This window comes from Homo sapiens, chromosome 11, assembly GCF_000001405.40.
Source record: "Homo sapiens chromosome 11, GRCh38.p14 Primary Assembly".
NCBI lineage: Eukaryota > Metazoa > Chordata > Mammalia > Primates > Hominidae > Homo > Homo sapiens.
In genome coordinates this window covers 116534437-116547975 of record NC_000011.10, presented here as the reverse complement: position 1 = coordinate 116547975, position 13539 = coordinate 116534437, and the positions used below count along the sequence as shown (strand labels likewise).

General features: G+C 48.9%; 2 annotated features.

Annotated features, from left to right (window-relative positions):
- Window positions 11130-11630: an enhancer, noted in NCBI's record as "H3K4me1 hESC enhancer chr11:116407063-116407563 (GRCh37/hg19 assembly coordinates)". NCBI's record gives its function as "activates a minimal SCP1, AML or CMV promoter by ChIP-STARR-seq in naive H9 embryonic stem cells {active_cell/tissue: H9 hESC(naive)}" and the evidence as "EXISTENCE:reporter gene assay evidence [ECO:0000049][PMID:30033119]".
- Window positions 11631-12131: an enhancer, noted in NCBI's record as "H3K4me1 hESC enhancer chr11:116406562-116407062 (GRCh37/hg19 assembly coordinates)". NCBI's record gives its function as "activates a minimal SCP1, AML or CMV promoter by ChIP-STARR-seq in naive H9 embryonic stem cells {active_cell/tissue: H9 hESC(naive)}" and the evidence as "EXISTENCE:reporter gene assay evidence [ECO:0000049][PMID:30033119]".

Below are 13539 nucleotides of genomic sequence, written 5' to 3'. Positions count from 1 at the left end.
GAGGTGAAAGGAGCAGGGAAACCAGGGGAAAGAGAACGAGAGAGAGGGGAAATGGAGAAGACAGAGACCGACAGGGGGAACCATGGGACAGTAGTGAAAGGGGCTTGGCCAGGGACCCAGGGAGAGAGGGAGGGGGTGGGCAGAGATGAAGCAGAAGGGCAGGTTGGGGACCCCAGAGGGCTACAGCAGCAGTGTCAGGCCAGGCCAGGCCAGGGCCCACAGGGTGAAAACCTTGTTATTTTCAAACCTCCACTTTGCTCCCCATCTCTGCTGATCTGTAGCCTCCTCCTGGGTACAGAGTTATTCCTCTGGGCTTTGGGAGAGAGGGAGGTCAAGGCTGTGCAGGTTCAAAGCCCTCCCAGCTAGACTGGTCTCAGTCCACCTGGGAGCCAGGGAACAGAAGTCCCACCTCTTCTCACCCTTACCCTGCCTGGGAGGGACCAGAGAAGGGGACAGTGCCCCAAGGTAGGGCCCCACTGACTGCTGAGAACTCCAGGCCAACACAGGCCCGAGCCTGAGAGCACTAGCAGCATGACTTCTAAGGACATTGCATGTCACCAAGATACTTTCAGTCCTCAGTCTTCCTCTGGAGAGTTGCATCAGTCTCTGGACAGGGAGAGTGTCTTAGTCGTCTCTGATTTCAGCACCTAGTGTGGTCCCTGGATTGCAGTAGGTGGTCAATGCGTGTTCATGGAATGAGTGGAGGTGTAAATGAACCGTCTTTGGGTGAAAGAAAGGAGACATCAGAGACATAGAGAGGTTGAATGACCTAGTCCCACAGCACATTGGTGACAGGCACAGGACTCATAATCCCTCAGACTGGGGAGAAGGTCTTCCAACGTCTCCATAACTACCTCTGGAGGCTGGAGGAGACTTGGACCCCATCCCCTGTTATAAATGAGGTATATGAAGTTGGGGCCCTGATCAATCCAAGGTGTGGCTGAGCCCTTCTAGAAAGGTCTGAGTCTTTCTACCTTCCCACTTTTTCTTTCTTCTCTCAACCATTTTCCCACATCTTCCTCTGCCAACCCAATCTACCAAGGAAATATTGTGACTGATTCTCACGGAAATCTTCGGCCAGGTCATTGCCATCACAGTGCTCCTTCATGCCATCCTTGGCCACCACACAGGCCAGGCTATGCTGCAGTGACAAGCAACCCTCAAATCCCAGTGGCTTAGCACAGCCAAGGGGGATTTCTTGTTGCATCACATTCTGCTGCAGGCTGGGGTGGCTCTTCTTGGATAAACTTCTTCAAAGGATGAATGATGCAGGGATCCTCGCCCCTTCTGTTTTCTGATGCTGCCATATTAACATGCGCTCTCTAAAGGAGCCTTTGAAGGGGAAGAGAGAGTAAAAACAAGCATATGTGGGGACTTATGCCAAGCTAGGAAGTGGCCTACCACTTCTGTTCACATGCCATTAGCCAGGACTCTGTCAGATATCCCTTGTGTAGGTACAAGGAAGGCTCGGAAATGTAGCTTTCCTGAGTGCCCAGAAACAGGCAGATGACCTGGAATCTGGTGAACACATTGTACAGCTGACCCTTGAATAATGCAGGGGTTGGAAGCCTCAATCACCCCTGCATAGTCGAAAGTCTGTGTATAACTTTTGACTCCCCCAAAACTTAACTACCAGTAGCCTACTGTTGATTGAAAGCTTTACTGATAACACAGTTAACAGATATTTTGTATGCATATGTATTATATACTGTATTCTTTCAAGAAAGTAAGCTAAAGGAAATAAAATGTTATTAAAGCCTGTAATCCCAGCACTTTCGGAGGATGAGGAGGGCGGATTGCTTGAGACCAGCGTGGGCAACATAGTGAAACCCCGTCTCTACAAAAAATAACAAACAAACAAACAAAATTAGCTGGGTGTGGTGGCATGCACCTGTAGTCCCACCTACTTGGGAGGCTAGGGTGGGAGGATTGATCGAGCCCAGGGGGTCAAGGCTGCAGTGAGCTGTTACAGTGCCACTGCGCTCCAGCCTGGGTGAAAGAGCAAGACCCTGTCTCAAAAATTCAATTCAATCAATTCAATTTAATTTAAAAAATGTATTAAGAAAAATCACAAGGAAGAGAAAACATATTTCCTATTCATTAAGTGGAAGTGGATCCTCATAAGGGTCTTCTCCTTGTCGTCTTCACATAGAGTAGGCTGAGGAAGAGGTGGATTGGGTATTGCTGCCTCAGGGATGGTGGCTCATCTGCAAGTTTTTTTCAAATGGTCACAAATCTCCAAAGTTTTTTTTTGTTTTTTTTTTTGTTTTTTTTTTTGAGATGGCATCTTGGTTTGTTGCCCAGGCTGGAGTGCAGTGGCACGATCAACCTCCACCTCCCGGGTTCAAGCGATTTTCCTGCCTCAGCCTCCCGAGTAGCTGGGACTACAGGCGCGTGCCACCATGACCTGCTAATTTTTGTATTTTTAGTAGAGATGGGGTTTCACTATGTTGGCCAGGCTGGTCTCGAACTTCTGACCTTGTGATCCTCCTGCCTTGGCCTCCTGAAGTGCTGGGATTACAGGTGTGAACCACTGCACCTAGCCCAGAGTTTTTAAATATAGTTATTGAAAAAAAATCTGTACAAGTGGACCCACACAGTTCAAATCCATGTCTTTCAAAGATCAACGGTATTGTCTCTGCCATCCTACCTGAGACATCATCTCTGCCGCCATCTTTCCTCTCCCCTACCTGACCTATACGTCTCTGTGGGACCTCTCCCTGAACTCCTCCCTCTTCTCCCCTGCCTCCCTAACCATTCCCACTGTCCTCTGGTATCCCACTCCATGGTCCATAAATCCTCCTGCCTCCTTGACATTTCCTCTGAAAGTTCCCTCCACCTCCTGGTCCTAACTGGAAACTGGCTCTTCCGAGGACACTGTGTTTCATATTCATATGCCTCGGGGTTGAGAAGTGGGGTTGGTGTCCCCCTCACACGCCAAAGCCACATCTGGGCCTTTACTCTCTCATAAGAAACTCGGCTCCAGAAGGCTGGTGTCATCTCTTCTGGCTTTCTCTTTCCCTCTTACTGTGGTTGCCCACTGGCCTCTCGGTCACTCCCTCGCTCACAGAACACGTGGCATCTGCTCAGTCTTCTCCACGTGCCAAGGTCTTCCTAGGTCCCAGGATTTCAATGCCCACATAGAGAATTCACCCAAATCCTGGCGAATTCGTCCTCATCTCTTCACAGATACATTGGTCTCTCCCTTTTCTCTACTTTAGGCAGCCACTTCCACAGTGACATCTGGATTGTATGGTCCAGAACTGCTTCCCGCTCTGAGATCCTACATTGGAACATCCTGCGCTTTGGCCACAATTTCCTATCAACCAAGTTCTCTTGCTCAGTTTCTTCACCTAAGTGTGTTTCTCACTATCATGGAACATGCCTTGATTTCTTTACCTTCCCTGTCTTTACTACTTTTCCCATCCAGTTCAAGTTCTCTGGCCCATCATTTAGCCACTGTATTAGAGTTCTCCAGAACCAAACTAATATATATAAATGTGTGTGAGTGTGTGTGTGTGTGTGTGTGTGTGTAATATACATATTCCTTATATATATCGTAAGGAATGGGCTCACACAATTATAGAGGCTGAGAAGTCCCCAGATCTGTAGCTGGCAAGCTGGAGACCCAAGGGAGCTGATGGGGTAGTTCCAGACTGAAAGCTGGCAGCCTCAGCTCCCCGAAAGAGTCAGTGTTTCAATGTGAGTCCAAAAGCGAGAAAGAACTGATGTCTCAGTTTGAAGGCCATCCATCAGGCAAGAATTTTCCTCTACTCATGGGAAGATTGCTTTTTTTGTTCTTTTCAGGCTTTCAATTGATTGAATGGGGCCTGCCGGCATTAGAGAGGACAATGTGCCTTACTCAGCCTACCCACTCATATGTTAATCTTATTCAGAAATGCCCTCACAGACATACCCAGGATAGTGTTTGACCAAGTATCTTGGCACCCAATAGCCCACTCAAGTTGAGACATAAAATTAACCATCACTGCCACCTTCTTGCAATATCCTCAGATACTTTGCTCCATTGCTTCTCTCTTATGACCTGGAAAAACTCTAAACTCTGGATCAATTTAACGGTCTACTTTTTCTGCTTCTCAGTTTGGACTGTTGAGTGCTGCTAGAGATACACATGTGCACATGGGTGTGTGTGCATGCATGTGCATGTGCACATGGGTGTGTGTGTGCGCACACACACGTGCGCACGCGCACACACACACACACCCCACACTGTTGAGTAGACTGGCTTCCTCAAATTCATGGCCTCTGGCTTCTCCTGAGCCTTTGATGCTCTAGTAGTTTTTCTTTGATTCCCTAGGTAGCCATTTCTGCAAGAAGTGATCTTAAACTTTCTTTATTCTCCTTGAACTTTCTCAACAATCCATCCCCTTCCCCATCTCACCCCATCACTGGGATCTTTGAGACAATAGCAGCCCTTAGACAAAAATGCCTTAAACATACTTCCCCCTACACCACTTTCCCTGCATCTGTACCAGGACTTCTCCTGCTTCTTTCCTGTCCCAGTGGTCTCCTGCCTGAAACTGAGTTTTCTGATCTTTGCTCAGGGACTTTACCTCACACGTCAATGAACTCATTCCTCTGCTGAAACTTCAAGCACTCCCTCCTCTTTCTGAATCCATCCACACGTTGTTTAAACATCTCCCATGCCACAGCCAAATGCACACCGTTCTCTGACTTTACACCCCTGCCCCCGGTTATTGCCTCATCTCTCTTTGCTCTTTTACAGCCAGACATGTTGAAATGTCATAATTTTCTACTTTTCTTTGCATTGAAATAATCTTTCACACACTACTCTGTTGAGGTCACTGTGACCTGCACATGTCACCTGCCTGTTGCATTTAGTGATGGGTACAGGTCACAGGTGACCTCAACAGAGTGGTGTGTGAAAGAAGATGATTCCAATGCTCTTGTCCTGCTTGACTTCTCTAGATCTGGTCAACCACCCCTTCTGGAAATGTTCTCTTTTCCTTGGTTCTCATGATGCAGTTTTCTTCATTTTTTTCTTCCTACCTCTCCCGGACTGCTTCTTCATGGTGTCTATTGTAGGCCCCTTCTCCTCTCCCTTTCCTTACCTTTTTAATGTTTCTTAGTGTTTAGTTCTCTGCCTCCTTCACATTTACTCTGTGTTTGAATCTAATCCTGTGGATTTGATGATGATCTGTCAGCTGATGGCGCTGGCATCTTTCCTCTCCCCAGACCTTCTGCGTGTCCTACTGTTTGCTGCATATCTCCAAAACTTATCGTTCCCCTACCTCTCAATAAAGCTGTCCCTCCTGTGTTCCTTCCCTTGGTGAATTCATTCATTTGACACATACATACTGCATGCCTGCTGCATGCCAGGTGGTGAGCTAGGCTGTGGAACCCTCTACTTGGCTGCCAAGGCAGAAACTCTGAAGTCAGCTTGGACTCCTCTTTCTTTTTCTTTTCTTTTCTTTTTTTGAGAAGGAGTCTTGCTCTATCACCCAGGCTGGAGTGCAACGGCACGATCTTGGCTCACTGCAACCTCCACTCCGGTGCTCAAGCAATTCTCCTACCTCAGCCTGCTGAGTAGCTGGGACTACAGGTGTGCACCACCATGCCTGGCTAATTTTTTGTACATTTATTAGAGACAAGGTTTCGTCATGTTGGCCAGGCTGGTCTCAAACTCCTGACCTCAAGTGATCTGCTCACCTCAGTCTCCCAAAGTGCTGGGATTACAGGCATGAGCCACTGTGCCCAGCTGGACTCCTCTTTCACTCTCCATCTTCTAAAAACACCAAATCCTGCCAGAGTTACCTCTGCAGCATCTTTTAAGTTCTTCCCTGTCTCTCCACTTTTACTGCCTTCTGGACTACTATCTTAATTCCCAAATTTGTCTCCCTGTTTCCAGTTTCATCCTCTCCTGTCTCTTATCTCTACTAAGTCCAGATGACCTCATCATTTTCCTGTCTATAATCTTTAGTAAATCTCCATTGCTCTGGGCCCCCAGGTACCTACATACTCACCTGCCTTTGCAGGACTTCACCTCTGCTATTTCTCCAGCCTCATCTCTCGTGGTTTGTCCCTATTATGGTCTATTCAACATCCGGGATGAGATATTTGGAGTCTTAGGCATGCCATGCTGTCCCCTCTGCCTGGAATTCCCTACCTTCCCCTCTTTGCCTGGCAAAACTTTTATAGCTCAGATAACATCTTAGAGGTCTCTTTCCTCAAGAAGACTTTCATCTTTTAAGACTGGCCCAGGTGTTCTGACCTAAGTCCTCTGAAGCAACCTATGCTTGCTTTGTCATGGAAACCACCACAATGTAATTTCACATCTGCTTTACTCACAGTTTCCCACCCCCACCATGAAGTTCCTTCTAGAAAGGCACTGTGTGTTGTTCACCATTTGCATTCCCAGCACTTCATATAGTGCCTGGTACCTAGCAGGTGTTCAATATATGTATGTTAAGTGAAAGAGTGAGCGAGACCATAAGAGAGGCAATGCACTAATTGACCCAGAGCCCAGGCAGGACCATAATAGACAAGGGCATCTATGGATAAGGAAGGACTCTGAGGGCATGGCATGCAAATAAGACCATCACCACAATAGATGACCGCCTGGTGCTTGTTGAGCATTACTGATGGTAGTGGAAGTCGTGCTGAGCTCCAGGTCGGAGAACCTGGTGTTAATGTTTCTGCCATTTCTTAGCTACTAATGACTCATGGCAATTCCGTTAATGTTTCCAAGCCCTTGATTTTCTCATTCATTAAATGGAGACATTAATGCCAACTTAATAATATTATTGTCAGAATTAAATGGGGTGAGAGTTGGGGGAGGTGCTATATATTCTGCAAGTGTGATGAAGGTGTCTTGGGCATCTGTTAGAGACTCGAGCAAGCAGTAACCTTACACTTGGCTTGGTCAGACACAGAAAGGAAGCAGCTACCTCAGGGCAGCTGCTCTCTGGGGCCTGGGGATTGAGTCTCAGCAGGACAGAGAGTGTCAGCTGCTCTGAAGCTCCTGGGAGCACCATAGCAGGAAAAGGGGCACCCTGGACTCAGCCCCAGCCCAGACCCAGGCCTCCTGCCTGGGAATATGCCCCACGGTGTATCCCTGGGGAATAGGACAGCCAGGTCCAGGTCCAGATGGGAGGTCCTACCCCTTTGGGCCTGGCAGGCTCCCAAACCCCTCCCCTGTGCTGCTCCTTCCTTCTTCCTGGGACCACATCTGTCTTTCCTTGATAATGTGCCCAGGACCCCAGTGAGACCACCTCTGGGCCTAGAGAAGTACCCGAGCCTGGGCTGAGAGGTAGCTGGACATGGCAGGAAGGCTGTGAAAAAGTGAAAAGACTTGGGTCCCAGCTCTGCTACATGTCAGCTTTGTGGCCTGGGAAGTTGCTTCTGGGCCTTTTCTCCATCTCAAGAATGAGGTTATAAGCCTACCACACAGGCAGTTGTGAGGGCCAGTGGGGTACCAGGTCTGTAACGACTCCATGGATCATAAATGCTATGCAAAGAGTAAGGATGATCAGAGAGATCAGGCTTTGTAAAGGCCTTCATGGAATTAGTGCTCTCATCCAAAGATGAGTCCTGCTCATCATGTTTCATCCTCAGCCTTGTACTGGGATGTGTGTGATGGGGGTTTCATGAGAAAGGATTTAGAAAAAGGGAACTTTCCTGTGTGTCCTCCAGTGTTGGGAATTCCTGAGCTGTGCCTGTAGAGGAAGAGGGGTTGCTGCCTGGCCTCAGGATGGGGGTGAGGAAGGGTGAAGCCAGAGGAGAGGGTAGCTATGATCAAGGGGAGCCCAGGAGGGTGAGAGGATTGGGGACCCTGCGAAACTGGCCAGGCTGATGCCAGGGCTCAGCTGTGCCAGAGCTTTAAACTGGTTGCTTATAGTTGAGTGTTTAAAGCAGTTTACTCATAGTGCCAACTGTTCTTGGATGATTTTCCCTAAATGTTTTATGTTTTGTACTTGTGCCCAGAGGCAATTTTATCTGGTGGGGGCACTTCTGTCAATCTGTCACTATGAATGATTAGAAGAAAGGAGGAAAGAGTGGGCAGAGAACAAGGGGAGGAGGAGCCCATGTCCTCCTGGGGGCCTGGGGGACGTCTGTGCACACAGTCATGCAGATTGGCCATTGGTCAGTCCATCTGCTGGACTGAGAGTCCTTAAACTCCTTGATTGTGGCTGGATGAGAGTGCCCGAGAAACTGGGGCTGGAGTATTTGCCCTCAGGACACTTGGGATTAAGTGATGCATATATACACACACACAAACACACACACCCCCACACACACACCAAGAAGCTTGGGCACAAGCTAGCCTTACCAGTGATTTCCTAAAGGGCATGATTTAGAGCAGTCTGGGAAGATGCTCCATCAAGAAATCACTCTTCCATTCTATTACCTGGAATTCCTGTTTCTGCAAGGAGCCACTTTGACTTTGCTTGTATCTTAGTCAGGGAAGGTACTGACAGAGCAAGCTGCCTAGTTTGGGAGGTGGACTGCCTCCCAGCCTGGCTTCTTTCTCTTTGGTTCCTGACATAGCTGCTTAGATGCCAAGTGGTGGCCACTCGGGGCTCAGAGCCAGGCCCAGCACAGCCTCTGGGCCAACTGGAGGACCTGCCATTAAAGGCTGGAACACAAGCTCCCGGAGGCACAGGTTCATGTCGAGTTTGTTTAGTGCCTAGAACCGTGTCCAGCACACCATTGACACTTTGTGAATATTTGTTGGATGAATAAATGAATGAATGAAGATCTTTCAGAACTCCTGAGTCAAGGTTTTACTTTATGAATGGGCTCTTTTAAAATGCAGATGCCTGGGTGAGAGGCAGGGCACTAAGTTGTCCGAAGTCATGAGAAGTGGCCAGGCTTTGGGTCAGACAGATCCGGGTTAGAATCTTAACTTAGTTAACCACAAAGGGTGTGACCTCAATTTCTTCATCTGCAAAATGGGATAATGATGTGTACCTCTTAGAATTGTGGCATAGATTAAATGTGTAGGAACGTGTAAGCTGAGAGTGAGAGGAAAGGCACACAAGAAGCTCAAGCAGAAGGGAGACTAAAGAGAAGCAGCTTAATTTTGGGAAACTCTTGCTGCAAGCTGGTTTGGCAGGGAATCCCTGAAGTGAAGTGAAAGGACACTCACATTCTTGGCTGGCTTGGGGAGCCAAATCCAGCTCCTGTGTTCCAATCCTGAAGTAGTGGGGAGAGGGGGAGATCTGGTCCTCACCAGGCAGCGAGGGCAGAATGGACCAGCAACTCCTTAATCGGAACTGTTTATTCCTCCCCATTATGAGTCAGTTCCACCTTACTGTGGATGAGTTTGCGAGAGCCTGCTTTTTCTTTCTGACTCAAGGAATACAAGTTTTGATAAAGTAATGAGGACAACAGAGGATTATTTTGGGGCTGGGAGGTGAAGCCTAAGAAGGCTTAACCAGGGTGCCTCAAACCTGGGGAAAAGCATAGAAAGCAGATCATTGAGGATCTATTTTTCGCTAGACACACTTGCTTGGGAACTAGAAAATCAAAACTTAATAACTCTGCAAAAAGCCCTTTGTAAACCTACACTATTTAATCTAATTACTACAAAACTCAGAGAGATTTTCATGGAAGACATTATTTTCCTAATTTGAAGATGGCAAGACTGCAGACCAGAGAATGGAGGTAGATGGGGATACAAGCTTGCTTTGAGGACTCTCCAAACCTTGGAAAGCTTGCTTTGAGGACTCTCCAATCCTTGGAAAATACATTTCTTGGCTGATGTGACCGTTAAAGCTAGAAGAACCAAATGGTCATTTCGGAGCTTTGGTCACTGAGATCCTTTCAAGATTGGTAAGGTTAAAAAGGTTGTAAACAGTGGGGACAGGTTCACCTCCAACTCTGCCAGCCACAGTGGAGGCAGCAAGAGATTGCGGTGGGGCAGAAGCTGGATTCTGGAAGACACGGACAGGGGCTGGAGCCAGATACTCCAGTGCCGTTACCAGGTCCGACTGTCCCCATGCTTGGGATGGCCTTGTGACTGTGTTACCTGCGATGGCAGGGTTGTCATTCAGACTCTGGGGTTCACGACCCGGGATAAACCTGTTGCTGCACAGCCTTAGGGCACAGGCATCTGGGTCCTCACAGCAAGACGGCGAACTCTCTGGGTGAGTTTGTGTCAGGAAGTGAAGCTGGACAGGCAGAAAGGGCCCGACCAGAAAGGGCCTCTTCTGATCACAAAGATGTGTGGGTGTTAGCTTGTGAGTGAACAGCCCGGGGTGTGCACCATGTCATACAGGTGCATGTGGAATTGAAGTGTATAATACCCTGGACAGGAACAGCTGCATAATCTGTGCGTTCCTCTAGTGCAAAATGAAAATGCGGGGCCCCTTGTTCAGGAAGTGTTAAGAACTTCAGTACAGTGATAGTGGACCATTAAACAAAATGCAGCACTCTCTGAGTGTGTGCCCAGAGTGACTATCCAGGTTAGACACCCATGAAGCCAGACCTGATCCTAGGGACGAGGGCTATTGGGGCTAGGGAGGCTTCTGTCATTGCAGGCTTGGATTTGCCTGCAAGCCTTTAGTTTGTTCTGGGGCTACAGAAGGCTGGAAAACATCTTCTTGCAGACTTCCTTCCCTGAAAGCTCTGGGGTCTGGAGTGCGGGCAGAGGAACGTGGGTGTTGGGGGACGAGGGCTGCCTCTGACAGAGCAGGCACAGAGGGAAGTCTCCCCACCTCCCACCCGGCACCGTTTCCTCCCCACCCCAAAGCCAGAGCAAGGTAATAGTTTTCGACACATTTCATTGAAATATAATAAAATATTTGCATGACGTTATTAGATAAATAAGGGTTGACTTGAGGCAGCGCTTATTGGGAAGTGCGATATGAAAATTCATTTAATATGAAAGAACGTGGAAGCTTAAGGTTATGGTAATGGATTGATTGCAGATAGTATCTAATAACTCCATACGAATATATTTCAATCACAATATCTGTCGGGTTGGTCCTTGGCTCCAGAGGCATAAGGGGGTGATTGTATCCTCGACCTCTCTTCCAGGCCAGATTAGAATTAATTAATTGCTAATATTGTGACATTACTTTTGTAATTAAGAAGCCCCACCATTTCCGGTGGCAGCGAGAATGAGAAGTGTTTATTATTGTCTCAGATGAGGCAGTGGGGAGAAAGACAAGCAGAAAAGTCATAGAGAGAGGGGAATCCAGGAAGGGAGAAGGTAATTATTTCACTCTCTGGGTCTTGAGGTTTTCTGTTTTGCCTGCAGAGTGGAGCCCTGGATAAGAGGCAGGGTCTCAGGGCTGGGCCACAGGCAGAGCTTCAGGCACCCGCACAGAAGGTCAAAGGCGACCCTTCTTGCAGATGTGCTGATCCCAGGAGGCCTGGCCCAGGAGCCAGCTGAGTGAGGGGGCTTGGGCAGGTGGGAAACTGTGGCTATGACCGGGGTGGGGAAAGCAGAGACCATAGGTGGGTCATGGCTGATGAGCCAGTGACATGCCCCTTCCTCCCTTGATAAACTGTGACATCCATTTGTCCTTGGGTGAGATGAGCTGGGTGAGGTGGTTGCTGTCACTTCTGGGTATCTGCAGAGGGGCTGGAGGAGGAGGAGGACAGTTGCCTGTCCAAGGCCCCCATATGCTGGCCGGTCTCCCAATGCATGACCCTGGAGTTTGCTTGTCTTTCTGCCTTTTCCCTTCCTGGGGAGAAAATGGAAATAATTTCCTTTGAAACGTGACATTTCCTAATCCAGCGCCCAGCTTGGCTGACAGCAGGATTAGCGCGCACGGGCTGCCAAGCCTGGCTGGCCATATGCAGGCGCCTCCCATGGGGCTGCGGTGGCCAGCGCCAGCCCCTCCCCTAGCTCTTCTCCCATCCCAGTTTGGTCTCAGCTGCCCCCTCTGTCTGTGCATTGGGAACTGGTGGGCTGCAAGCCACTCAGGCCCTTTCCTGAGACTTGGATAGGGTACAGGTTGTGGTGGGCTCTTTTACCCACCAGAAGCTGTCAGTGTTGTTAGCTCAAGGGAGAGGGAGGAAGGCAGGAACCTGGAGAGCGTGTTCAAGACTTGGTTCTGTGTAGACCAGCTGTATGACCTGAGGCTATTCACACCTTCTCTGGGTGTTAGTCTTCTTATCTTCCAAATGAGAGTTTTGCAGTAGATTGTTGCTACCCCATTGGTTCCCAGCAGTCTCTGATTCTAGAGTCTTCCTCAAAGCACTTTTAGTAATAAGGGCCAACCCAAATAATAAGAAACCAGTAGCTATTTGTCGGGGAGGCATTCTTCTGGCTCTGCTCTCCTTCTCTGTTCCTGTCTCCTCAGGTGCCCGGGACTGGGGGCTTTTCCCGTGTGGTCTCTCCATCCATGTACCCAACAGACAGCAGTTCAAACCCTCTTGCCATCAGGTTCCTAGCCGATTAGAGTGCATGATGTTGAAACCCCACAACAGTGTGACAGGTAGATGGTCTTCTCCTGCTTTTTACAGAGGAAGAAACTGAGCGTCGGAGAAGTTAGGTGACTTTCTCCAGTGATTAGCTCAAGCGAATTTGAACCCAGAGTGGCCCAGCTCCAAATCCCCTGCGTTCGCAGGCTGCATCTCATGTGTATGAACCGTCCTCCCACAATCCCCACCCAAGGCCAAGTCCATGAAATCTGGGAGTTGGGCTATCAGCCCTAGGCTATCCTGGCTGTGTGTGTAATTTTTATTTTTATTTTTGTAGTGGGGATTGGGGTACTTCCTGTGGGGCATCCTAGCGTGGCCCTCAGCACCATAGCTGGGATCCGGCACTGTGATCTCCAAGACTGGGACCTTCGGAGGTGTCCCCAGATGCAGAATGCCTGAGCCCCAGGCTGTGTCCACAGATGGAAATCAGGGCTGAAAATTCAGATTGGACAGCTCGTCAGGGAGAACCCTACAAGATCTGAATAGTTTTGCTGTGGTGGAATTTTCTGGAGCAGATGCTCATCTCTTTTCTGACCTTGGGGACCAAGAGAAGGACCCGAGGGAGCCTAGGCTTTCGGTGATGAATAAGTGAGAGGAGGAGAATCTGTGAGCTCTGGCCAGGAGAGCAGGACCCTGGGAGGTCCTGGCCACCAGGGGCATGGAATTTCTTCCCTCCTCTGGCCTCAGTTTCTAATCTGTCCATCAGAGACTTGGCTTGGCTCTGAGAGTCTAGGGTCTTTCTGAAGCACTTCAAGGCCGGCGGAGGCCGGGGAGGTGAGGAGATCCTGCTCCCGCCCCTTCCCATTCCTCCTTACCCTGCCTTCTCTGCTGTGTGCCAATGTTGTAACGTGACTTAAAAGTTGAAGAACGTTTTCTTTAGGGGGCTGGAGTGTTTGTGGTGGAAATGAGGGAGGGGAGTTGAAGGGTAATTGTTGCTTTAATGGCAGGAGGAAAGAAGTGTACACAGCAAAGGGAAGCTCAGCCCGCCCTTCCCGATCTCTAACGCAAACAGCCCACAATTAAGCTCCTTCACTGCATTCAGAGTTACAGATAGGAGAGAATGCTTCTCGCGCACGGCCCCGTGGTGGAAGGAAGACAGTTTGGTCATAGAATATTTGTCTT